The sequence below is a fragment of the Homo sapiens genome, chromosome 2 (genome assembly GCF_000001405.40).
Source record: "Homo sapiens chromosome 2, GRCh38.p14 Primary Assembly".
Taxonomy (NCBI): Eukaryota; Metazoa; Chordata; class Mammalia; order Primates; family Hominidae; genus Homo; species Homo sapiens.
In genome coordinates this window covers 49918154-49945827 of record NC_000002.12, presented here as the reverse complement: position 1 = coordinate 49945827, position 27674 = coordinate 49918154, and the positions used below count along the sequence as shown (strand labels likewise).

At 35.9% G+C, this 27674-nt stretch overlaps 1 protein-coding gene across 21 annotated transcripts in view, besides 1 other annotated feature; it reads left to right on the top strand.

Moving 5' to 3' along the window:
* NRXN1 (neurexin 1) overlaps positions 1-27325 on the top strand; it is a 1113630-nt gene extending 1086305 nt beyond the window's left edge. For 12 of the 21 annotated variants that reach the window (NM_001330087.2, NM_001330084.2, NM_001330093.2 and 9 more), the window contains 2 exons: positions 2037-2124; positions 23577-27325. In NM_001330087.2, coding sequence (NP_001317016.1) covers positions 2037-2124; positions 23577-23884 — 396 coding nt within the window. In that variant the 3' untranslated portion in view covers positions 23885-27325. The remainder of the gene's footprint in view (positions 1-2036; positions 2125-23576) is intronic. The other 9 variants (NM_001330096.2, NM_001330083.2, NM_001330088.2 and 6 more) reach the window with 1 other exon arrangement.
* Positions 8388-9056: an enhancer, noted in NCBI's record as "OCT4-NANOG hESC enhancer chr2:50163910-50164578 (GRCh37/hg19 assembly coordinates)". NCBI's record gives its function as "activates a minimal SCP1, AML or CMV promoter by ChIP-STARR-seq in naive H9 embryonic stem cells {active_cell/tissue: H9 hESC(naive)}" and the evidence as "EXISTENCE:reporter gene assay evidence [ECO:0000049][PMID:30033119]".

The following is a 27674-nucleotide window of genomic DNA, read 5'->3' as shown; positions in this document are numbered from 1 at the left end:
CACAATAGCAAAGACTTGGAACCAACCCAAATGCTCATCAATGATAGACTGGATATAGAAAATGTGGCACATATACACCATGGAATACTATGCAGCCATAAAAAAGGATGAGTTCATGTCCCTTGTAGGGACATGGATGAAGCTGGAAACCACCATTCTCAGCAAACTATCAGAGGAACTGAAAATCAAACACTGCATATTCTCACTCATAAGTGGGAGTTGAACAATGAGAACACATGGACACAGGCAGGGGAACATCACACACTTGGGCCTGTTGGAGGGTGGGGGTCTAGGGGAGGTATAGCATTAGGAGAAATACCTAATGTAGATGACAGGTTGATGGGTGCAGCAAACCACCATGGCACGTGTATACATATGTAACCTGCATATGCTGCACATGTATCCTGGAACTAAAAGTATAATAAAAAAAAAAAAAGAGAAAACCCCCACAAATTATCAAATACCAGGAATGAAAGGGGAGTTAGCACTACAAATGCCACAAACATTGAAGAATAAAAAGTGAGAATATTATGAATAACTTTGTCAATAAATTCAACAGTTAAAAAAAAAGACTTACACTTCCAGGCAAACCAATATTTTCACCTTCCCTTTCTAAAATAGCAGCAGCAAAATGCATGAATCCAGAAACTCTCCCAATTGTCTCAGAAGAAGTAAGAGCAGAGTAACATGAAACCATCTCCAATGCTATTTAAAGGTTTGTGTTTATTTAAAGTTATATTGTAAAGCATTCGCATCTGAACAAATTCTTTGTTCTTAAAGACTCTGCACTTGAAAGATTTTTAAGCCTAATACTTTCTATAAAAGTTCATCACCCCTCGTCTCCATTTTTCAAAATGCCACAACTTTCTTAAAAATTTAGTTATACTTTAATCTGTGACAATATTAGGTGCTCCTTTAATATTAGGTGCTCATATCGTATTTTTGCTTTTTCTTTGAAGTAAGACCTATGTTATTTTAATTCCACTTTTAAATGAGAACTGTATCAATGTTGCAATTCTGAGAATTGTTTGAACAATTCTAATCTCTTTAGTCCTTAGTAGATGTAATGAGATATTTTTATTTATTTGTATACATTGGATTCTCTGTTTTACCTTAGCAGAGCCAACTCTGATGGAAGCCTTTACAGATTCCATGCAATATCTATGCTGAATTTACTGCAGCTTGTCAGTGGCAATAAAGAACAACTTTTCGTGCTTATCAGTGTGTTGATTATGTGACTAACTGCTAGGATTTATGGACTCTGCTTTTTATTACAGAGATAGGTATCTTTTTTGCTGTAAGCGCAATGAAGCAACTAGAATGTCACAGAGAAAACTGCCACCTCTTCCCCTCCCCCACTTTGAATACACTTTTCATTTATTATGAAACCATAATGATGAAAGGGATGATGAGGAAGCAATACCTGCTATCTGAACATTACAAAAATGAGCTTCAAGTGTGAAATCATAATGAAAATGAAAGTGTCTTAAATGGATTGTATTTCCTTGCCTTTTTGCACCAATGAAAGAGCTATCTAATTCTCTACTTAATCTGTGTTTCCTCCAATAACAAGCTATATCTCAAAGATTCATCAAACTCTACATAGTCGTGAGTGTAAAAGGTTATGGCTTTTCTGCTTTTAGGAAGCCAAGCACAAGTACTACATAAAGCCCACTGATGCATACATTGTAGCACTCCAGGCTGTAATAAATTTCAAATCATCTGTTTCTGCCAGGTTGTTTTAAACCTCTGTATGATACTGTGTGCAGCTTCTATCTGCATTTGAGTGGATGGGTATCTACAAGTTGGCTGTCACCATTTCTGCGTCCTCATGTAAACTAAAGTGTAATCAAGTTTTCACAAATAGGCAGTTACTTCTATGAAGGATCTAAAATGTAAGCTCTGTGTCTTTAGAAAGGGAAATAGTGAATTTGGTTTCTTGATAAACAAATTGTATTTCACTTGTCAATGAGACAAAGATGAGAGAATCTGTTAGGACCCTTTAAATTAATCTACTGAATGTGATTCTTTTGCAGACCACAGATGACATCCTTGTGGCCTCAGCAGAGTGTCCCAGCGATGATGAGGACATTGACCCCTGTGAGCCGAGCTCAGGTGGGTTAGGTTAGTCAACTTTTTTTCTTACTTCCTTGGCTTTACTGTAAATCTTTGTTGCATGTTATATTCCTTAGAAGGGCCTTATATTCATGTATAGAAGGCTACCCTCCTATACCATCGTTGATTGTGAGATGAGGACTCTTATTTTTTACATAAATTTTTCCACATTTATTGAAAAAATTAAAAACAAAACATGCCAAGATTATGTATTTCAGAAAAAGCAGTGGGTATAGCACACAGGGCTTCTACCTTACTGTTCACTTTCCATTAGCTCACAACATAATTTTTGTGTGTAACAATATAATGAGCTTTCCCTTGGGTCACTTATAGTAAAATTATAAAGCTAAAAATTTGCAGCACATTGTGCAAAATTATTTGACCTTTCTACTGACAAAAAGTCCCCACCACTCACTCTGCCAGCAAATTACCTTAAGTGATATATTTCTGAATTTCGGAAGTGAGAGTATTATAGCAGTAGTAAAACAAACAGCAGGTAGACTCGTTGATATCTTTAATAGAGAAATATTTGAGTCTTGCCATGTTTCCCTAAAATTCAAGCTGAAACATTTTACTTCTTTATGATATGTTTGCATCTTCTGATGTGACTAACGTAAATACTGTTACCATACAGCCCTTATACCATTAAGTGGTGGCTGTAGACCCCTGAAAAATGAATGAATTCATAGCCTAGATTTGATTCCAAATATTCATAACTTCAAGTGTTAGGCTCATTTCCATTAGTTTTGTTTTGGTTTGGTTTGGTTTTTGGTAAAGCAGTATTTAAATTCAATAATGTTCTTTGCTGGTCATAGTGGCTCACGCCTGTAATTCCAGCACTTTGGGAACCTGAGTCAGGCAGATCACTTGCGGTCAGGAGTTTGAGACCACCCTGGCCAACATGCCAAAACCCTGTCCCTGCCAAAAATAGAAAAATCAGCCAGGTGTGGTGCTGTGCACCTGTAATCCCAGCTACTCAGGAGGCTGAGGCAGGAGAATCACTTGAATCTTGGAGGCAGAGGTTGCAGTCAGCCAAGATCACGCCACTGCACTTCAGCCTGGGTGACAGAGTGGGATTTTGTCTCAAAATAATAATAAAATAATAATAATAATAATAATAATATTGTTTGCATTAACAAAATGAGTGAGGTGGATATGGACTAACCACTATCTGCTAGTGGTGTCTATTGACATCACCTAGAATCCCAGGAGAATTTCATGTCACAAGAAAGTAATGAATTTGCATTCTTGTGAAGAATACCATTTTAGAGTAAATCCGCTCTTTAGAGCAAATCGGGATGTATGTCGTGCATCTCGTTTTGAATATTTGAATATCACTTCCCCCACTGATTGTAACCACTGACTGTAGCGCTTAGAGAGCAGCTGCTGAGTGCCAGGGAGGGGGAAGAGCTCGGCAGTCACCTCGCAACAGGACAGGGCGTGGGAGACCAGGCTGGGTATGCTCTGGTCCTCTTTCCTCTTGGCTCCACAGTGCCAGTCAGGACTCTCAGCTCCCAGAAACATCTATCATTCACAATGATCAGCTCTGTCACGATCATCCATTCCATTCTCCCAGCTCATTGGCCTCTGCAATCATTCCCTCTTGGTTGTCGTGACAGATAAAGTCACATCATGGCACTATCCTAGGCCCCTTTACTAAGATCTTGCCTTGGTTTTCATTGGTATGCTTAATCTGTTAGTTAGCAACAACAACAACAAAAAAAGTCATTGCTATTGCTTTTCTGTCATTATATCAGTCCCATCTCTGCATTTTCCCACCCTCAAATTTCCCTTCCCCATTTCTTCTACGCTCACATGCCCAACCTTCCTGGTGTTAATCTTTTGCACCAGGACATTCTTTTTTCTATCTCATCTTCTCTGACATCCTCTAGCATGAGTTATCCATGTAACAAAGTCTGGTCTTTGTATATTGGGGTGTGTGTTATTTATAGTTGATTTTGTTTTCTCAATTAGTGTTTTCTTCAGGGTAATCCATTTTTCAGTATTTTACACAGTATTAATACAGCGATGAAAACTGTTGAAGTTCTTACTAATTACAGGACTTGCTGAATCCCTCTTTTACTGTCTAAGTATAGGCTATCATACTCTTGTTGCAGAATCCTTACCTTGAGTACCTAGTGAATCACAGTAACTAATTGCACTTAAAATTGTCACTTTTTCTTCGTGAGCTCAGCTGAATGATCCAGTTCTTCGAGCCATTGCTTATAGGTCTGATTAACCATTCCTTATGGACTAGTTTACTGTCTGTCTTTTGCTCTGGTGACACTAGACCTAAGAACAAGATGGTGGAGGAAGAAGGTAGAGGAGAGGAGAGAAAAGGCGGATGGGGTAACCCTTTTGCCATCGTCTTCTGCTTGTTCACCCGATTTTTGTCTGCTTTGTTAAATATCATAGCACAATGAAAAGTGAGTAGCAGCTTATTAATTGCCATACTCCAGGGAATCTTTCTACCTTTGTTTTCTTTACCACACTATCACTATCTGAAACAATCATGTTTACGTATTTGTTTTTCATTCATTAATGTATAGCTTGAATCTCCCCACAAGGTAAATTCCATGAAGCAGGAACCCTGTTTTTCTTGCTGCCTGCATGGACTTGTTCTGTCAATTTTAGTTCTGTTCTACTGCACCAAAGTCTGTTACCCAAAATACAAAACACACCAGCTACTGATTCTATCTAACGACAGCTACTTTAACACTCTTGTACCAAGCCTAGTTTAACTTTTTCTCCTCTCTTTCAGTTTGTCCCTCCTCACTCTTCAGTTTTCAATTCATCAATTCCTGTTAAAACAAGAACTTCAGATTATTTTGTGTTAATGGGATCATTCACTGTAAACCTGTCCTCTGATCTTATCTCCCCCGGTCTTGATAATATATGCCATAAATTGTTTCACTTTCGATTTCTGATGTTAAATCTCTTTCTACATTAGCTTTTTCTGTCCACCTCCCTATTACTTTTTTTCTCAAGCCTGTCTTTAATGCTTCATATGAAGGTGGCTCTTTGGGCAGAAATTGGTTTTATTTATGTGATAGCTTCTAATGAAATTCTTAGTTTATATGATGTTTTCCTATTTTCCAACTTTTTTCTTGGAATATGGGTTGTGTTTTTCTGTTTGTTTTTGTTTTGAATCCTGTTTAAGTCTGAATAATGTTTCATCATGGGCTGCCCCTCCTGCAGGTCATTGTTTCCTAATGTACTGGTTTTCTTAAATTTCTTTTTCCTGCTTGCAATCCATCTTGAATGCAAACATAAAATAATATAACAATAATTGTAGCTGCTGCTGTTATTAGACATTGGATAATTCTAGCTGCTGCTATTAGATGTTAGAAATACTTAAATAAAAATTATTTCACATATTAGGCTATATTTTGGGATACTGGCTTTTTATAAAACTAACATATTGAGGTAAATATTCTGAAACAGATGTATCTTCTATGCACATTTGCTAGTCCTTGGGCAAGTGAGAGCAAATCTTTGTAAGGAGATGCACCATTACCTTTATAGATGCGTTGCCCAAATCTTCTGAGTACCTCACTCTCCCTAAGTATTTACTCATGAGTTTTCTAATCACTCTGACCCTCCCCCACCTTCAAAAAATGGCTTTTTCTCTGAAAATGTCCTATGTTCCTTATTTAGGTACCTTCCTAAAGCTGTTAATGGAAGAAACAGGAAAAATCTAGCATCATCTTGAGTACTAGTAAATTATTCCTTTTATCAAATGTTTGATAAATTGGAATTACCTGTGGTTCCATTCAGAACTCTTAATGAACAGGGAAGTTATATATTTGGTGGGTTATCAGCTTCAACATTGATCAGGTATTGAGTGTCACTATATACCTACTGCTCTGCTAAGCTCTGGGAGCAAAAATAGAAAGTTTATACCTTCAGTTCTATATTAATTAATATATTGAAGACATTTATTGCAATGTCTGGCATAATGTAGAACATAAATGGTGGCTTTTTCCCCCAATTCAGTTATACAAAAAGAATATTCCAAGCTATTTTCCCTTTTACATAATGCTGTTACTTTTCCTGGCTGAAAATTGGTGGGCAACTGATGAAACCACTCAGGCCTCCTGATGGGAACTGTGCATGTTAAAACTAGATCAGGGTCAACATCCTGGGTGGGAACACATGGAACTCAATTATACTTGATTTTAGCCACACTGTCCTGCACAGTTAGCATTGGATGATAACTTCACATTGATATGATCAGTTTCAGAATACAAAAGGATGGCTTCAGAATACAAAATGTTGGCTATGTGATGGAGGAGGGCTAATTGAACCCCAGCTCTTAGTGAACAGGTAGAAACCTGAACCAGCTATTGGTAACAATGTTACAGGCCAGTGTTGTCCTAAAGTGCCCAGTTTAAGAAGCGTAGACACATGAGAGATAGATAACATTTTTTTCATAATTTTTCTCAAAAAACGTTTACAGCTTCCGTGATTTTTCTCAGCCTAGAGAAAAAAATTGTGATTGCTGGAGTTATTGCTCCAGCATAGTTATTGCTATGTGATTGCTGGAGTTAATATATGAAAAGTATGTTATAGAAAAAATGTTTTGCTCAAAATAAGTGCTATATGAGTGTTTCCTGTTATTAGTATTTGTTATTTTTATACACACACGCACATATTTTCCAAGACTTTGTTTTTCACACAAATATAAGTTTTTATAAAATGTCTTTGAAATTTTACATTTTAGATCCACTTAGTAAATTGACAAAATGGCAACACTGCAAAACCACTTAAGTTCCAAGAAGGTCTTTAATCATGTCAGTATCTCTTAGTTTGGGGGCCCTCTTCCAAATAGAACCCTTTCTGAAAACTCCTGAAGAAGTTTTAAAAAGGTGAGTTTTATGTTGATATTCAAGATCCTAAATGAAGATAAAGACCCTCTTTGCTGTAGTAGCTCCCTAATAAATAACTCTAATTTATCATTTGTTACAAAGGGAACCAGACCTGCCTCCTGTTTTCTGGAGCCCTGTTTAGGAAGGACAATTTCCTGTTAGATTTACAGTGCTAAGAATAATACGTCAATTCTCTGTGAGTGGTTAGGGGATGGATAGCTAATGGGATATTAGGCCACTCTCAAATCAATTAAACTTTTGTAAAACTAGGAAAAGAAGAGTTCCATTGAATAATAAAATATCTCATTAGTCATTGGGGGAAGAAAAGGATCACCCATTTTTGTGGCATCTCTTTAGCTGGAACACAGGAGGTGAGGTCATCAGTACAACCACTCAAAAGACAACTGTTGATTGCCTATCAGAGGAATCATGTTGATCAAGGTTCAGATTACATAAGCAATGATAAATAGCAATAATAACTAGTATTTGGTGAAGATTTATTCTGCGCTCCATCATTGTTCTTAGTCCTTTACAAACATTATTCTATCTCATTATTTTATGAAACTATGAAGCATTTTCATAGCTAAAGAGATTCAGAGAGATTAAGTTATGTCATGTAATATGAGAGAGCTGGTGTATTCTCTAGTTTAGAAAAGGTGGGCTTATAGTTTCTTGGAACACAGAAGGTTTTTCCTCTAAAATTCAGGCACCTCACAAATATAGAATCGATTTTTCAAAAGTTCATTTAAATAATTTCATGTCATATTCTTTACATGTATTACTATTAAGCTAAATTTGTTGCAATTACCATGCAATTTTCAGTGGTTTTTCAGTGTGCTATTTTGAGAAAAGGTCAAGGGATTTCTATTCAATTGATACCATTAAACACATTAGGAATAAAGATATGTATATTGAACAAGGTGCACCTTTTCATTAAATAAGTCATCACAATCATTTCAAGGACTGTCTTGCTGGGTCATATTTTTAGAGCTTGATTAGAAAATAATTTTGTTCTACATTTAAATGTGTGTTATTTATTATGTAATTATTCAAAAGTGACTTTAATTAGTCCGTAATAGCCAACACATTGCTGTCAAAATGGAGGATTTTGAGCTGCAGCCAGAAAAACAGTAGCAATGAGTGTTCCATTTGAGGGAACATCGAGAGCATCTCCTGTGTACCAGGCTAGAATCAGCGCTGAGGGCCCAGCTCATCATTCAGGTGCGGGATGGGGCAGCTGGAGTTGGAAACTGATGTGCTAGCTGGGTTTCAGTGTGCAACGTGCTGGTGTAGGAAATGTTTTTTCCATATAAATTTAATTGTCCAGAACACTGGAATAAAAATAAGTAGTACATGGTTAAAGTAGAAGAGATTTATCACACATCATTTTTACTCACTTTTCCCCTGCTTTTCTGAAGGCAGTAATGTCAGAATAAAAATTATATTGAACAAAGTTAAACAGGCAAGGAAGATTTAGTCAAGGCTATTGCAATAGGAGAGGTGGGCCAGATTTCAGCCCGAGGGCAACTCACTGAAAACAAACAAACAAAAAAGGCTGGAGGGTATTTAAGTGCTGGGATGGATGGATTTGGGACCAACTGTGCTTGCAAATGGGCTTCACCCAAAGGAAATGTAAACAAACTATCTCATGTTTTCATGACAGGGGGATAGTTTTACAGTTTGGAGCATGGAGCCCACTAAAGTTAGGCTCCCACCCTTTCCACAGAAATTAGGAGATAGGGGCGCTATCTTCTCTGATGTTTATATTACGAAGAGATGGCTCCCAAGTCCTCCATATTTACACATCAAAGGGACAGATAAAGTATTTGAAATTACAAATGCCCTAAGAAATGGAAGGCCAGGGGCCCAGAGGCAGGAAGAAGCCTATCTTTGTTTGGTCAACTTGACATCAACTTTCCCAGCAACCAGTTTTTATTCAACAAAATTAGTTTCTACTAGGAGTTCAGCAGAAAACAAAATCACAAGCAAAAGGTATTTCATATGTGTGTGTGTGTGTGTGTGTGTGTACATATGTTTTTTGTTTTGTTTTTTAGAATATAGCAATTTGTATTTAATTGAACTATTTTGACCCTTTTCTGAGGTTTGAACTTTTTTTTTTTTTTAACAATATAATGGTTGCTACACTTTAGAAAAGCTCTTAACAACATTTTAAAAGAACTGTGACATGCCACCAGAAATGAATATTAGTTATGGCAAGGACTTTGGAATTATATAGAACTAATTTGAGACGCAGCCCTTTCCTGGTCTTGGGAAATTTACTTAGTAGTTTTGATGCTCAGTTTCCTAGTCTGTAAAATGGGGAGAATACGGTTAATTATGAGATTGGAAAAAGAGGATTCATACACAATGCTTGGCAGAGTGTCTGGAACATACCACATACTAAGGGTTTAACAAATAATTATCACACATCCAATGACAGGTGGAGGACCCACTGCTACTAGCACTGGTTATGTGCCAATGGAGGCATTATTCTGCCTTGTAGTGAGGTCGCTCATAAGGCATTATGCATTTGATCTGAGTAAAAAATCAGCACAGTCTCTTTAGGTATTAGACAGAGTGGGTTCTGTTAAAATGTTTTAACTAACATATGATTGGCCACTTATAATAATTACTTAGCATATAAGTGAGTTTGCTAAGTGAGATTAAGCATTTACTTGAAGTCTGTAAAAAATAGATGGCTGCTGATACAGAAACCTCCTACAATAAGCAACAGAAAACTCTGTTCAGTAGTGAGTACAGCATAAGTTTTTAGGCAGCCTGTATGTATCCAGCCTTAGAGCATTAATAATCGGTTTCACATCACAATTTTTTATTGGAAGATGCTAAAATATAATAGCCTTTTAACAGTATGGCACATGTCCTGTTGAGCTTTGGAAGAAGATAACAAGATGCACATCCATGCTCTGAAATATTTAACCACCTTGAAGGGAGGAATGTAGCACAGGTTTAGAAAAATATAAGGTAAGTTTACCTCTTATGAAAACATGAAATCCAGGAAGGATAAAGTCACGTTGTCTTGTAATTTGTGTCAAATACCTGTTTTGATAATGAAATTGGCTTCCTGTGGCGTTCTCTTGGTACCTCATTAATTACATTTGCTCAGATGATATCAGAGGTAAGCCAGCAAGCATATTCTGAATTCCAATCTAGAGGACATGCTGCCTCCATGAGGAGCCAATATGCTTTCATTGTTGGCACATATGCTCCAAGGGGCAGCAAATGCTACATTTGGCTTTAGCCTTCAGCTCTCATCTCAACACAGTAACTTGTCGATTAGATCACTCTCATCATGAGTTACTCCTTACTCATAAACAAAATGTTATAAGAAGCCTGACACTGGCAATATAATAGCAAAGACCAGAATACTTTACATTTCCAGGTTAAAAATGGTGTATTAAAGATGCCAGTATAGCCAGAGGCCATTAATTACATTAAAAAAAAATAGGAGAAAGAAAAATACTGACGTTGTCACATCTAAGAGCACACTAAAATATTTTGTTTTATTGAGTAAACTTGAGAAATCCCAATGCCTGTGTTCAAATCTCAATTTGGCCACCTACTGTGTAATTAGAGGCAAGTCATTGAATCTCTGTGTACTCAGCTTTTTACATCTGCAAAATGAAAGGAATAATGTTCAATACTCATGACATTGCTGTACTGATAAAAATGAGACAATGCATCTAAAGCACTTAACATAGTCTACCACAGGAAAGCTTTGATAACATAAATTAGCTTTTATTAGTAGTAGTAGCAAACTAACTAAATAGTAAACCATATCATAAATGGAAATATCCCCAAACAAGAAAGGGAAATGTTAATGATGGATACTTCAGCATCTAGCAAGTTTTTCAAAGTATTTCTAAATTCTATCAGCATAAAACTTTTCTCAGTGACCACTAAGACAGGAGCAGTGCTTTAGCTGGATAAATTTAGGTTCCTATGGTAGGAGGAGGGCACGTATCATCTGCTCTTCTTACTTTATTTTTGGAGGGAAAAAAATTGGGCTTTTTATACTAAACAAAAAGAGAGAGAGAGAGAAAGGGAGAGTGCTTTCGAGAGAAGAAATGATTAACTTTCCTGCTTCCTTCCTAAGACACTCAGGAATACTCCCAGCAGCATGACTTACCAGGCACACCTACCCACACAGCCTCCCCACCATGATGGATGCCTTGTCTTTCGTATTTCCTAATGCTAGACTTGACACACTTCCCTCTAATGGGCTCAGAGGGGAAGTTATCTAATCTTTCACCTTAGCTATTGCATTTTCACCAAAAAGAATCTGATCTTTTTCCCAACAAAAGAAAATTGAGACAGAAATAGCCTCATGACAGCAATATAAAGATGATCACCCAAAGCAAAGAGACCCAATTCTAAATCAGGAAAATTGTACACTGCCCCATTACACAGAATGACTCAGGTTTATATAGATGCTGTGCGGGCACCCTGGTGGAGGGGTGGGTGCACCTAGGACCCAGCATGCACCTCTGCAGTGGAAAGTCTCCTTTGGATTTCATCCGGAGTACACTGTGCAATTCCAGAGCAGGGAAGGAAGTGGGGGAAAATTGACTTAACAATTTTAGAAAGAAACAATGAAACCTAATCAAAGGAGTTTTTACCAACATAATAAGCCTTGCTGTCAGCTATTTATTACCAAAGAATAGTCTTAGATGATTGATTTTATGACACCTAAAACATAAAATATCATAATAAAATTTTGAAAGAGAGAGAAATGTAATTCACTCCAACCATAGGAGCCAGAGAGCACTGATCCATTAAAGATAGAATGTCTCACAGAAAAACAGAAACAAGCTCCACATGCAGCACCACAGTTAATGGCCTGAAACAACATGCCCTACAATGCAAAGGACCATTTTTGCCACCTGAATTCACAAGGCCTCTTTTCATGAAAGGGAAGTCCTCAAATACAACTACTCCCGGGGAGATAATGTCCTTGATGGTCACTGCCACAGCTGATTGAGACACTGTGTGCAGTGCATATTGCAAAACTGTATAATTGTTGGGACAGCTGCTGATTCAGTACCTTCTGTGTGGAAGATGTAGAGAAAACAATCAGATAATCACTGTTTTTACAAAGTCCTCATCCTCCTCAGATACTTTCATACTGAATGCCCTACCTGATCTGATGCCCACAGTAACCCCTGGGATATAAATAATTTATGTGTCATTATCATGGTTTCTGATAAAGGAATGTTAGCAGAGGATAATGAACTGCAAACTGTCACTCAAAAAGTTAAGGACAGGACCTAGACTAGAACCTAATGCATAATTCGATATTCTTTTTACCACTCTTCACTGCTTTTCTAAGATTCTGTGGGAATGTTAACTCCCACAGCAAAGGACAGAGAGTTGGCAGCAGGTGAAGAGGAATGTGGCTGGAAGGGCTAGAACTGGGCAACTGCTTAGAAAATATACCTAAAGCCCGGGTGCAGTGGCTCACACCTGTAATCCCAGCACTTTGGGAGGCCGAGGCGGGCGGATCATGAGATCAGGAGATCGAGACCATCCTGGCTAACACGGTGAAACCCCTTCTCTACCAAAAATTCAAAAAATTAGCCGGGCGTGGTGGCAGGTGCGTGTAGTCCCAGCTACTTGGGAGGCTGAGGCAGGAGAATGGCGTGAATCTGGGAGGCAGAGCTTGCAGTGAGCTGAGACCGCGCCACTGTGCTCCAGCCTGGGCGACAGAGCAAGACTCTGTCTCAAACAAAAACAAAAACAAAAATAAACAAACAAAAAAAGAAAATACACCTAAAGTGCTAAGTGTTTTTACACTTAACACAGGAATAAAATCAGAAGCAATAACAAATTGATCCACAGTGATAAATGCAGACACACTGAGTATATAAAATATTAGTAGCCATAGACAGACCTGAGTTTGAATTTTGGCTGTGCCATTTATAAAGTCTAAATAGGCTAAGCTCTTTGAGACTTAGTTTTCTTTCCTGTAATGATAATACCTACACCACATAGTGTTATGAGAAATAAATTAGATGAAATTTATGTGTAAAATGTATAGCACAGCAATTACCATATAATAATAGTAAAAATAATAGCTGTTAACTACATAAAATAAGAAACAAAATATAGATGTTACAGGGAAGTCATAGTAGCTCTGTTAAGCATAAGTTGACAATTGAGTAATGTTAAAATATATGGAAGAATGTAAGAAAGAAGGTTTTGATGAGGGTTTTGATTACTTAGTTAAGTAAGTTTACCCCCAAGTTATTGCTAAAGGTTTCCTGGAACTATTTAATAGCTTGGCTTTACCTATTAATTTGGAAAGGAGGAAGGAAAGGAAAGGAGAAAGGAGAAAGAAAGGTGAAAGGGGAAAAGGAAAAGGAAAGCGAAAAGGAAAGGAAAGGATAAGAAGAATGACTTCAGCATTTTCTTTAATTGGGTTCTCTATTGCCCAGCAGGAGTGTAGTGCTGCAGTTATGGCTCACTGCACCCCCAAACTGCTGGGCTCAAGTGATCCTCCCACCTCAGCCTCCCCAGAAGCTGAGACTACAGGCATGCGCCACCATGCCAGGCTAATTTTTTTACATTTTCTGTAGAGACAGAGTCTCCTCCCTTTGTTGCCCAGGCTAGTCTGGAACTCTTGGCTTCAAGCAATACTCCTCTCTCAGCCTCCCAAAGCACTGGGATTACAGGCATGAATTACCATGCCCAGCAAACTCAGCAACTTCTGAGAGAGAATTGGAAGGAATGCTGCAATATTCACATGCACACACATTCACACACATGCACACACATACTCCTCATTACTCTAGCTATAATGTTGCCATTTTTGTCTTACTATAAACCAGGTTTTCCAAAAATTTCTAGTTTCAGGCCTTAAGAATTCTGTGGAATAAATCTCATTATTTTGTAAAGATAGATTATTCAATTATCTATATATAAAAAAGGAAATGGATCTTAAGAAAAGTGATTTCTGGATGTATATATTTTTGGGTGTTGTAGTCAATGAGCTCCCAGGAAGAGAAGCTATTTTGGTATCAAGAAGCTCAGTTGAGTTGAAATCAGTTAATAAGGAGTATCATCCACATTTCAAAATATAACTCTTCTTGCATTTTTCTGGAATGTAATACATTTTGAGGAAAAACATATACAGACTCTCTGGGGTCCCTAGTTTTGAAACTGATTTTCTCAATTATTGCCTATATGGCTTTCTTCTGCTTGACAATTATGGAAAGTTGGGCCTGAGTAAAGAGACCCTTTTCAATTCCAATAGCAACAGGACTGAAAAGCACCCTAGAAATTTCTACAACTACTCTGAATTGAAAAAAGAGCTCAAGTTAGCTGTCAACTATTTGCAGTACTGTGGGTGTCAGATGATGTTGATGTAAATAAGGCATCCAAATGAATCAAACTGATGACTCAGTTAACTTTAAATAGCTTAGTGACTTTAGTCATTGGGATTAAGTGACATATTACCTTGAAGCATAGGGAAAGCAAATGCAGTATTTTCATTATTGTATATTGATCCCAATTCTCCAAAGCACAGAAGAAGTGATTTCTGATTTAATGAAGTAAATATTACATTTATCGTTTTTACTGCAGATATTACAAAGGTTGAGGGTTAGAGAAGTAGTGAGTTAAAGAAATATGAGATGTTAATGTCAGTGTTCAACCCCCTTGCTTAGCACCTTTACTCAAAACTTTAAAATCAAAGGTCTCTCACTTTCTTGCTCTGTCTCCCAGGCTGGAGGGCAGTGACATGATCGTGGCTCACTCTATTCTTAAACTCCTGGGCTCAAATGGTCCTCCCACCTCGGACTCGAGTAGCTAGGACTACAGGTGTGCACCACTATGCCCAACTAATATTTGTTTTAATTTTTTCTAGAGACAGTATCTTGTTCTTTTTCCCAGGCTGGTCTTGAACACCTGGCTTCAGCCTCTCAAAGTGCTGCGACTGCAGGTGTGAGCCACACAGTTCTTGGCTTTCACACTTTCACACTTTCTTAATGATTAGATTCAACCTAGTTTACCCTTGAAAATTTATCAAGTTACAAAAGCTTTCATCTAACTATACATAAAACATGCAGTTTTCAGCCAGTGTGTTCAATCTTCATTAGAGTTTGGAAGGTGAGAGAACTAATAAGAAAGAGAAACAGAGTCACAGGAAACTGTCAAAGGACCAACAGTCTAGTTGAAAAAAGACAAAACTATTGGATGAAACATTTAAGTGAGATTTTACAATAGTATAGAATTAATGTTAAAATTTGTGATGTGATATACGGTTGAGAGAATTTATTTATTTTAAAAAATTTAATAGATGTTATTGGATTACTTTCTAATAACAATCAAATAATTATTAAGAATATTCTCACCAGCATTGAGATCTCTTCTCCACTTGCTTGTGTGTAGTTTTCTCCATACTTCTGTTAGGTTGTTTGTCTTTTTTCCTATCAGTTGACACACACTCTGTATTTTAGAGGTATTTACTCTTGGTCCGTCATATGTACTACAGATATTTCCCTCCTTTGTCATTTTCATTTTGTTAATGATATTATGGCTTTTGCCACATAAAATTGTTATTTATGGGGTTAAATACGCTCATCTTTTTATTATGACTTTATTCCATAGTCTACAGTCTCTGTGATAAATTTCATGTCCACCTTGAAATTTCTTCTCACTCTCCCTTAAATCTCACTGTGCTACAACCACTCTAACTGTTGTTTAATTCCTGAAAAGTAAACTTTGTTTCCTCAAGGTCATTCGACATGTTTTTCGTAGACTTCTCTACCCACTTTCACTTGACGACTCTCTACTCATTTTTATCATAAGTGTCACTAATTCAGAAAGATCTGATTCTGCAGTTGCAATCAGAAACCTTTGTCCTACTCCTGCATGGTACCTACAGTTTTCCTTCATCATGCATATCCCAGCTGTTACTTTAACTGTGTGATTCCTTCTTGTATGCCTCTCTGCCTCACTATATTTTAAGGTCCATGAGGACATATACATCAAGTTTGTTTCGTTATCTCCTATACCCTCAGGACCTCATATAGTCCCTGGAATGTTAACTATAGCTCATTATATACTCGTTGATAGAAGGAGGGGATTTTCTTAGAGAAAAAAAATCATAAAAGATGGGACATTTGAGCCAAGCTTCGAGAAATAAGTACTATTTAAACAGGCAGGAGATAAAAGGTTATATGAGCAAGGCATAAAGGTTGAACTCTTTTTGGTATGTGAGGAGTTGGGGACAGCAATAATATTATGGCTCTAACTTCCTTTGACAAATATGGAAGACAAATTGGAGTAGGTAGCTGTGAACAGACTATGAATGGCCATGGGAACAGTAAGGACCATGGTGCTGGAGTAAGCACCATAATAGATGCAAACCACAAGGATACAATGACTATGTAAAAAGTCTATGAAGCTTATAGATGACTAAGCTGTGGACATATAGTTTACAACATAGTGAATAATTGAAGAATAAGATTTGTAAATACCATGATCCTATGGCTTCCCCTGGAGATGAGGGAGATTGTGCATGTTCCTCTGTTTATTTGTCTTCAGTGTCACCAAGGTCATACAGAGTGTGGACATCCATTGTCTCTTCTGTTCGATGTGGTACCATATGAGGTAGCAGCCTGTCCTAGTTGGGTTTCTCCATCATGCAGGCACATGATGAGTTTTTCCGTGTCTAGCATCCCTTCCCATTCAATACCTAGATCTCTGGAGAAGATAATGAACGTCTCAATATCAGAGTGGTGGCCCCTTAACTGCCCTTCAAATGCATGCTTTGGTGGTTTTGAAAGAAGCAGAGGAAAATATCGGAGACAGCAGCCAGGCAGGTAGCAAAGGTTTATTGATTTCCAAGTTCTTTCTAAATCTCCGATGTATTGGGGAAGGGCTAAGATGTGTCAGACATGTCCTCTCTCAAGACTTGTCTGACCTCCGTAAGTGTACTTCAGAATGTGCAGGCATGGGTGGAATTGGTGGGAGGGAGAAGGGAAGGAATTTGAAACAGTCAGCATCCCTCACTTCTTACAAAACCACCGCATGAGTCGAAATTAATGCATGTCATATAAATCATTGTGTCCCTGCTTTCCTACAAATGTAGTATTTAAACATGGCTTCTTGTGAATGATTGCATCATAATTGTTTCTTCTGGCCTACACTGTATTGAAGCAAAAAAATGGGAAAAAGTAATAAACTTTGAGTTGTTTTTTTTCAAATGGGGGAAAAAAGTGTGCTAATCTCAATTCACAAACACCCCAGGAGGCTACAATTCCAATTTTCTTTTCACAGTATTAATGAAACTGAGTATTGGAAAAGTCAAATCTTCCCCCTATAAATCCAAAATCACTTTCAAGTCTAGCCTAGAATTATAATAACTTCCACATCTATTAGACACAGTATAGAACTCTGGTCTAATGAGATCATTTTAGGCAACTCTTTCCTAGGTGGGGTGGAGACAGAAATTTAAAATCTATTACTTTAAGCTTAATTTATGAGAAAACCAGAAAGACTGGTCAGAAACTCTTAGTGAGAAGAAATTCAGTAAATGCATCTTGCCAAGAGTTTTTTTTTTTTTTAAGGATCATTGCAAGACAGGACATCTAACAATTCTGGTTAGCAGAATGATGCGTGCTGGGCATTATGGAGTTTAATGATCCCTTATGGTCCCCTCCTGATCTTAAATATATAGCCTATGTTTTTTTTTTTAACCACTAGCATGTTTTTTTCTTTATTATTTCCTAAGATTGGTAGTTTCTTACAATCTTTTTCTCAAAGCTCAAAAGCTGAATTTCCATTGTCATCAGGTTATAATGATACTCTTACTTTATCCTTGGTGTGCCAGGTTCATAGTTGACGACATACACATACATTAACAGTCTATACTGAAGAAATAAAACCAGCCCGAAAAATTACCTAGAAACTACAAACTTACCTTGAAAGTTAACTTTGGAACCAAAATATATATATAAGATTACAGTGGAAGAACAGCTCATTCAAGTATACAAAATAATTTCATAAAAATGACAATTTGAGTGATAAAAAGACCATCTGATGGCATGCTAATGCCTTGGTGAACTTGTCAATAGAAAGATAAGGTCCCACCACCCACCAAACCCCATTCTATATCAGGAATTAGGATTTTAAACACCATTTATCATGCAGAGTTGCAAAAACATAGATCAAGAGCAGTTTTCTTTAATGACAATAATTGATTGCTGTTTCCAATTTCAAAAAGAAAAATGAAGGATGTCACCATTGCAAAGGGAAATCTCCTTGGAAAAATTTATTAACATTCAAAAATGTATCTATCTTTCAAATTGCTTAGTTATTTTAGCACTTCAGTTGTGAATCATTGTACTAAGTAATTGCAAGCTTTAACTTCTGTTTGCATATGCTAAGGTGTGATTAGATATAATCAAACAATGCAAACTGATAAATACAATGCAAAGTTTAATGGCTTAATGTGCCCCCATCATATCACCAGATGCATCACAAAAGTCTTTTAAATTAGTGATCAAATATTATTTGTTTTGCCAAACCATACAATTTTATTTGCAAACAAATTTAGAAAGTTATATTTAAAAGTAATCATGCCAATATGAAACACAAAACCTGTTCTGGTGAAATAGTCACACTTAGACATTTGTGCCAGTAAGAATTATTTTACATTGTGTTTTGAAATTCAGAACTTGAAAATAAATTTTGTGGTTTATTGAACACCTTCCTGAGTAATATGCTAACCCATGAGGCAAAAAGTCCTGGCCCCTGCTGGCCTGACCTTCTTCATTTACCTGGGGGTGGGGAGGGCCCCTACAAGGATAATTCAGGAGCTGGAAGAGCAAGGCACAGAGGCAATAAAGAAGGGTAAGTGGGAGGAGAAATACAGAGGAGAATGGAGGAAGCAACAGAGGGTGCAAGAAGCTGGTAAGAGATGAAGCCTGCACTGACAGCCCTCTCTGGTCTGTACTGAAGTCTAATGTGTCTCAAACATATTTTCCCCATGTGTTTCTTAATTGGATCTAAATTTGTTCTAATTTGAGGAAATGATGTTCTTTCACAGATACTGTATCAAAGACTATCAAAAATAAATAAATAATACATAGGGCGATTTCCTTTCCTGTTGTTGTTTAAAATAACTATCTCAGCAAAAGACAAATTAAAATCTTAAAGATTTTTTTTTACTTTTTAATGGAGAGCAACAGTTGCATTTATTTTTTCTATGTGACAAGGCACTAGAATATGCCTTTAGTAGTAACTGTTCATTTTCCACAATGAATTATCATCTGAATTATCATCAGATATGAACAAATTGATTTAGAGCATAGTGCAGAAATAGGTTACTAACTGTCCAAACATTTGATAGCTCGTGTTTACCGAAGTTACCACAATACATATTAGACAACAAAAAACAAGAAGATTCATAGGATTCTTGATAAATCTACAGGGACAAAGCAGACCATGTGGAAAACTTCTAGAGACCACCGTATCTTACCAAATGCTAGAAGAGAGAGGAAGGATTAAAAACTACTTTTCAGTGGTCCTTTAAGGTAACATGCTTTATAAGTGCAAGAGTCCCAGGGATTTTTCTATAGCCATTTGGCTAAATGAATCTCAGAAGTGAGAAAGAAGTGAATATAAATATGAAATGGGTCATAACTGTTGTACTGCTCTATTTCCTTGCTAGAATAATCATTAGCTTCCAAATCATTTATAGGTTAAAAATGCCAGCAAAAGTCAAAAGCCTTTGTATTGTGATGAAGGTGTGCATTCTTGCTCTCCTTGCTTGTAGTAGACCACTGTCAGTCCTACTGAAGTTTTCCATTGAACCGAGTTCCTTATGCCCCTGGGCCCAATATAATGAACTGGCTACATCGGCTTAATTTTACCTACACGTCGGAGTTAATCTTTGAAGATTCAAGACTTAAAGACTTAAGCTTATTTGTGTGTATGCCATTATTTTAGCTCCCCCTCCCTTATTCTCTTTTACTTGCTTTTTTTAACAAGTTAAATCTTTTTTAACAAGTTATTCTCTTTCACTTGTTTCTTTGTCACGTGCTGGGACAAAGAAAGAAAAGGATGAAAGTAAATTTTAATTAATTACATTATTCACATTTCAGCACTGCTAAGAGAAAAACATGTTGCAGATTGCTTTAATTTTTTAAAAATGTCTTATTTTAGTTTATTATATAGTGTAGAGGGAATGCAAAATTCTTAAATCCATGAAATATACAAATTAATTATGTTTCTCTTTTTTTCACATTTTAGTAAATGGATGAGATGACTGCATTTACCTTTTATATAAATTTTGAACAAATTATATAAAAAGACATTTAACCATATTAGTCATTGATACTATTCTCTACATTTACATTAATATAAAATTTCATCAGAGATTTCTCAGTGATCATCAAAATAAAGCATTAGCGACAATAAGAGAAGCCACATTTATAATTCATGAATATATTTAAATCTCTTTGGCCTGTTATTGCATATCTGGGAGAGATGTCCCATTAATACATAAATATTTCTTTCTTTCTTTTTTTTTTTTTTTTTGGTTGAGGCAGTGTCTCGCTCTGTTGCCAGGCTGGAGTGTAGTGTGCGATCGCAGCTCACTGCAACCTCTGCCTCCCGGGTTCAAGCAATTCTCCTGCCTCAATCCCCCAAGTAACTGGGACTACAGGTGCATGCCACCATGCCCAGCTAATTTTTGTATTTCAGGGTTTCACCATGTTGGCCAAAATGGTCTGCATCTCTTGACCTCGTGATCCACTCGCCTCGGCCTCCCAAAGTGCTGGGATTACAGATGTGAGCCACCACACCCGACCAACACATAAATATTTCTAGTCTCAGAAGAAAAGTTAAGAAAAATTTCACTTAGCCTTCAGATTTGAAGCATAAATAGAAAAAGAATATTAATTAATCAGTTAGATATTGGAGTAACTACCTATTCCGAACATACCTATAATAATATCTGCTATGATGGTTATTAAAATTTTAATGTGAATCTGGGGAAAAGAAAGATAACATGTTTATTGGGTTTAGATTTTAATTTTGGTAGAGATTTTCTAGGTTATATTTTTAAGAAACATGATATTTAGAATTTTTACATCTGGGATTTACATCTGGGTTTTGTGTAGAGATATTTTTAGGCCTCATATGACTTAAGCAACAATTTGGCTAGTGTTGCAAAAAAGAAAGTGTTTTCCTTAAACAGGAGATGTTTTCAAATGCATATGGCACAGTTGAAGTGTTTCAGGCTTTGTTATGGTCTTTGTGACCTCATTCTTATTTTAACACAAAGTTGCTGTTATCATGCTATGTGCATAGTTGTTTTGAAAACCTCTCAGAAATATTTTAGCAGATAAAAATAAAATTTTTTTGATAAGATAGTCCATTTACGATATCAATTCCTTATTGAAAAAAATACATGTCTATTCTTAGTATACAAAATATAAACCCTCCACTCCATTAAAATTCTCAAATTTTACTGTCATAAGCTAAATGATTCAAATGTTATCTCCATTCTCCCTATTCCTTTCTGGCAGACAGAGTAAAAGTGAGGTAATTGTGAAAATGTGTTTAAAATGAAAGCATTCCATCAGGCTGGAAAAAATGATTTAGGTAACATTTAAACAAAATTCCCTTTTTAGCTCTTGAGACACCATAGTAAAAGAATGCTCTGTAAAATGAAAGTTTTCATTTAGTGAAAGCAGCTGAGTTAATTGGCACACTTTGGCAAAGATGACTGTATTTAAAAGAAAAAGTGCTGCCTTTGGTTTGTCAGGTAGTGACAGAGTTACTGCAGTAGATTCTATTCTTCATGAGAGGAAATTAATTCCTGTAATCAAATACTGTGGATTATAGTCTTTGTCTCCTTTCACCTTGTCCACAGAAGCAACACCAAAGCTTTTTATTCAGCCACACTCCGTGGGCTTTTGTAAAACAAGCAATGACACATTCAGCATAAAAAGTTTTACCTGCTACATTTTGTAGCACCAGAACATAGCTTATTGCTACTTTGAGACTAAGAGCTACTACTTTGGAAATGGCTGTATTTGTTAAGGCTTTATTTGAGGAAGGAAAAGAAAATCACAGAAAAACACACACACACACACGTTTAGGCAAAAGAAATATTGGTGATATTTGAAAATGGAATTACAAAGCAGTATAGAGCCATATGTTTGGTAAAATGATTCCCAGTAATTAACAAGAACTTTTGCAGAAATATTAAAATTAATTACTAAATGATGTTTAGTAGTAGCGAAATAAAAGCACAATTTTAGTCTTCTTGAGTTTTCAGTTCTTACATATACATGAACACACACTCATACACACACATTCTTATCTAATATATATGGAATCATGAGATTATTTGTTCATTATACATAATTGGCAAAGAATAGTGTTTTGAAAGTTGTAGCATTTTTAATACATTACATCTGAAAAGTAATATTTTTATGTAAGACAAGCGAGAGGATAGAGATTCAGGGAAAAACAGAAAACACAATTCACAAGGAAAAAATGACCTACAGTCAGAGTAGGATAGAATCTTCTTCTCTCGCTACAGTTTCTATCCTTTTATATCAAAAAAGTTTATTATATATAGGGGAAAAGAGCTGCCCCTTCTCCTCATATCTACCAATTAAATCTCAGGTCCATTCTTCCCCATCAATCATCAATTTCAGTGCCTGACCAGGCCTTCAAGAAGACGTAGGCACCCCAAAATCCATTGGTCTCATCCAAGAAAGAGCCTTATTTATACTTTGGGAAGACTGAAGAAGGGTTTTGTCAGTTGAATAAAACTAGACTAGCCAGCCTTCTATTATTATCTAATCTATTAGGTAGTTCAGAGTTTTGACCAAAAAATCAATCTAGACTGTATTTAAAACTGAGAAAGAATATTTTATTACTTTCTCCTCCAAAGTTCATCTTGGGAGCTCCCCAATCAATTAATAAAATACACACATACTTATGTAAACAAATGAATCTCCAACAAAATGGAAATTAGTCTATTTTTATTTATAAAAATGTAACTAAAGTTATACTTTAAAAAGCAGACAGTTAAAATGTATGGATTATCTTATTGTTCAATACTGTATTCTTTAAAATACAAGGGGAATATGATTTCTAAAGTAATCCTAAATTTAGTTGTCCTGATTCAGTCTAGAGTTAGACCTATGTTCTAGAGCAACACCTATTTGATTCTTATGATTCCCTCTAGTATTATAGGGTAGGGCTGTTCTGCTTTTCTTTATGCTGGGTTTGTGGGTTTTTTTTACTTAAGTCACCCACATGGCCCTTTAGAGCTAATTGGAGTTTATTTGGGACAATGCTTACCAAACTCTGTGAACAAAATTGATTTGTGAAGAAAGAAGACACAGCAACAAATCTCCCAGAGAACTTTAAATCACAGTCCCTAGTTTTTAGTAACCATGAGGCAAAGGGATGGCTACATTTATCAATAGCATACCTTTCCTAAAGCATAGGTGCTGTTAGAATTAGATAATAAATGTTAATATAGCTCTCTGGTATTCAGTGAACTCAATGATCACTTTGTGTTTGTTCTCATCCTCTTTTCTATAGCCAACCCAACCCGAGCAGGCGGCAGAGAGCCGTATCCAGGCTCAGCAGAAGTGATCCGGGAGTCCAGCAGCACCACGGGTATGGTCGTTGGGATAGTAGCCGCTGCCGCCCTGTGCATCCTTATCCTCCTCTATGCCATGTACAAGTACAGAAACCGGGATGAAGGCTCATACCATGTGGACGAGAGTCGAAACTACATCAGTAACTCAGCACAGTCCAATGGGGCTGTTGTAAAGGAGAAACAACCCAGCAGTGCGAAAAGCTCCAACAAAAATAAGAAAAACAAGGATAAAGAGTATTATGTCTGATCCCAAGATCTTAAATGGACACTTGTATAGAAATAGTCTTCATTTTATCTGAGACATAATATAAACTTATTTACTTTCCTTTTTATGAAGCACATACAAAAGAAGACAGGGAATGCAATCAGGAAGGAAAGACTTTTTAAAAAATAAAAACAAGTATCTCATGCTCTTGTTTCTCAAAAAAGAAAAACAAAAAACAAAAAACAGGGGCCAATAAATTCCCTAACATCCACAGTGTTTTCATTTACTCTGCTTGTCTTTATGTTGCTGGAACATTTCTAAAAGACAGTGATGACCGCACGCATTCATAAAGCAAAGGAGTACTACAGCATCAAGGCACAACACAAAAACCAACACAAAACATAACACAAAAAAGAAGCTACCTATGATCCTGGATTTAGCCAAAGTGCTAGCGCTTTCCTGAGAAGTCAGTCCAATTGCCAGAGAAGACTGTCCTTTTGAGTGACTCAACCTGCAAACCTTTAAGAGTTTGCCGCCTGGTGCAACTGGAGCAGTGGTTGGAACTTGCATTTGAAACAAAGTGCTGGCTTTTTTGAAGACTTGTGTAGGAACACATTCAAAAAGCCCCTTTCTGGTTGTGAGAGAGGAAAAAAAAGTATGGAGGCCTTATTTTCAAAAATGTGAAATATAAGGCACGTTTTCACACAAAATTTCAAAACAAAAACAAGAGGGCATAGATGCAATCATTGGGAAATTTTCATGCACGCTTATTATGTTATTACATATGTTTATATAAAATCCATCTCTGTGTGCTTTCTGGACTGTGATAAGTGACGTTTTATAGCCTGTTGTATAGAAAATGCAAAATATATCTCTGCTCTTCAGCCATTTTTGGTAAATTCAATGTTATAAGTGTTGCTAAGTATAGGGAGTTTTATGACATCAGAGCAACAATTATTTCAGTTGGGTTTTTCTTTTTTTTTGCCACCATTATAAATTGCCACAATTACTTTTATTTTTTAAAGAAATTACAGTGTAGTGTTTATTCTAAGGAAGATATGTATGAATGTATATACAAAGACTCAGCTACTTCTTTTCTTATATGTACAGCCTTCATTCTGTTGCAATTAAGTTTTAGTACTTGTATGAAAGGTGTGAATTAGAAAGTCACATATATACATATGTATCTTATAATCTTTTCTCCCTGAAATACTCACATTCCCACATACATTCACTATTTTCACACACACACACACACACACACACACACACACACACACACACACACGAATCCACAGCAATCCATCAGATATGCTGGAAGATCCAAACGTGCATACAGTAGCAAATATTTATTGACAAATTGAAAAGCAGGAAGGAAGAGGGTTGTGCCAAGGTATTGATGACAAATGGGGTGATTTGCTTCATTGAGATCTTGCTCCCAGGTAACCTTAAGAAGATTTTAGTCCCTAAAGAAATGAACCTTTCCTTATCAAATAGAATATCACTGATATACTGCTGCATGAATAAGAACCATTATGTGGGCAGGTTATGGAAGCAAAATTGGTTAATCTACACCTTAACTCTGGCTGCTGCAATTGAAAACTTTCTTTCTAATAAAATAATATATATATCTCTGAATCTGATGTGCATGATGAACATTTCTGGAAAGTAAACACTTTCTCTCGACTAAGAAAGTATTTTTCAGTAATTTTTGATTCTGTATTACTACCCACTTAAAAAATCATTCTCTGTTAATTATTGACTATGTTTTAACTTTTCTGGTTTTACATATATATCATTAAATATAGTTTTAGTTTAACACATTAAGTAGTGGAAAAGTATAGATTATACACTTGTTTTGCATATTATTCAATGATGTTCACAGCAATAAATTACTAATATGAGAAGGTAGTGCAAAAAATGCATTATTACATTGCAAGTTGATGTTTCAGGAAAAATTGGTTGCATTACTTGAATACCTTCTAAAAGAACGATAAAAAATTTTGTAGAAGAGAAGAATATCTTTCCAATTAGCTTTAATCAGCAAAGGCAAAAAATGCAAAACATCTTTTGTGATACTTTAGTTGATGAAAAAAAAGCCAAGAAGTGGCCTGGATTTCAGACATACAGCACCTTAGAAATATGTATAATTCATAGCAAATCACCACTATCTATGGTTGCCAAGTAATTGTTGTGTACAAAGAAATTTAGTGGCTTTTTATGACCCAGAAAGTAGAAGGTATAAAATGAAAATTTAATATCCATTGCTTCTTTTCTAGATTTTCATTTTTTTTAATTTGCCACATTAAATAATTCACGAGTCTTTTCTTTTCCCCCGTCTCATTCAGTCTTACTCAGGGAAAGCCAGTTAAATAAGAAGGGAAGTGTAAAACTACTAATTTACAGCTTGAAGGGTTTTTTTTTTTAAGATTGCTTTTCTATTTTATCTATTAAGCTTGAACCAGTTTCCATCTGGAAAGATTCTAAAATATAATAGAAAATAAATTGAATAATGGTAATTTTAAGCAGTATATCTATGAAATGTGTTGTTTGGGATTGATTTCAATGTTTCTCCCCAGCGTAAATTTTAAAGTTACATGCAATGATTGATATAGTTTATTATCAGCAAAATTATTTCTAATATTATTGGCTTACACAAACTCTAGCAAAAATTATTTTTTCCTCAATGGAAAAAGAAAAGAGAGGAACAGAGTTAGAAAGAGAAAATGACTTGAATCCCAAGTATCTTCATACCAAACATATCAGGGTTCCCTGCATAGTTTGCAGTTGATTGAGGATTTCACACGACTTGGCATAAATTTGATTACATCTCTAGACTGTAACTTTTCTGATTGATTATGCTTCTTTTTTATCCATGTAATGTGTTGCCTTTTTTAAAAGAACAAATACTACAATAACGTGTGAAGTGGTCAATCCCTAAGACATCAAAGAAAGGCCACATAACCCTACCCTTCTAGTGCTTTGTGTGATTGGGTATCAAAGGGGTTTTCTTCTTCTTTTTTTGTTTGTTTGTTTTTCTGTTGCAAGGCCAATTTATCCATTATTGGAAATGCTAAGCAAGTGGAATTTACTGTTTTGTTAATAAAATATTTCTTAATACAACTGTGATTTATTGATTTTAAAAATTATATGCGGCACCATTTCGTGCTTAAGTGGGAAAGTAAAGAAGGCTGCATTTGAAGGGAAGACCCATCCTTATATTATAGAGGAAGAATGTTGACTCTCTTTTTTCTGGATTTAACTAGTCATTAAAGACCTCTATATTCATACACTTAAAGATGTAGCCATTAAATGTACTTTTGTTATATTTGTTCATCTTGATATGCCAGAAACCATAAACTCATACAGTATTAGTTGCAAACAATATTAAAATACTAATTTCATAAATATGCTTTTTCTCTATAAAAGACAATGGAATCCAAGTTAAGTAAACCTGTGATTAAATTCCAACACTATCACATACTCGTTACTATTTGCCTAATTTCTTTGACTCTCACATTGTGTTATTTATTTGGAAAAAAACAAACAAATCTAAATATATAAAAGAACGTAGTGTTTGTTTCCATAAAACTGTATTTATTTCTTACAAAGAAAATTAGCTTTTTAGAAATCAGATGATTTATCAGAGTAAGTAAGTTTTAGTTCAACAGTTGGAAACTGTTGTTTTAAAACCCTGGCACTTGAAAATGATTTTATGATGAAAATGCACTTTTTTTCTTCAACAGTAAAAAGTCTGAACATGAATGCTTAATTCGTTTTGTTCCTGCAGTGTCTAGATATATTTGTTATTTCTTTATTGCTATTAATTCAT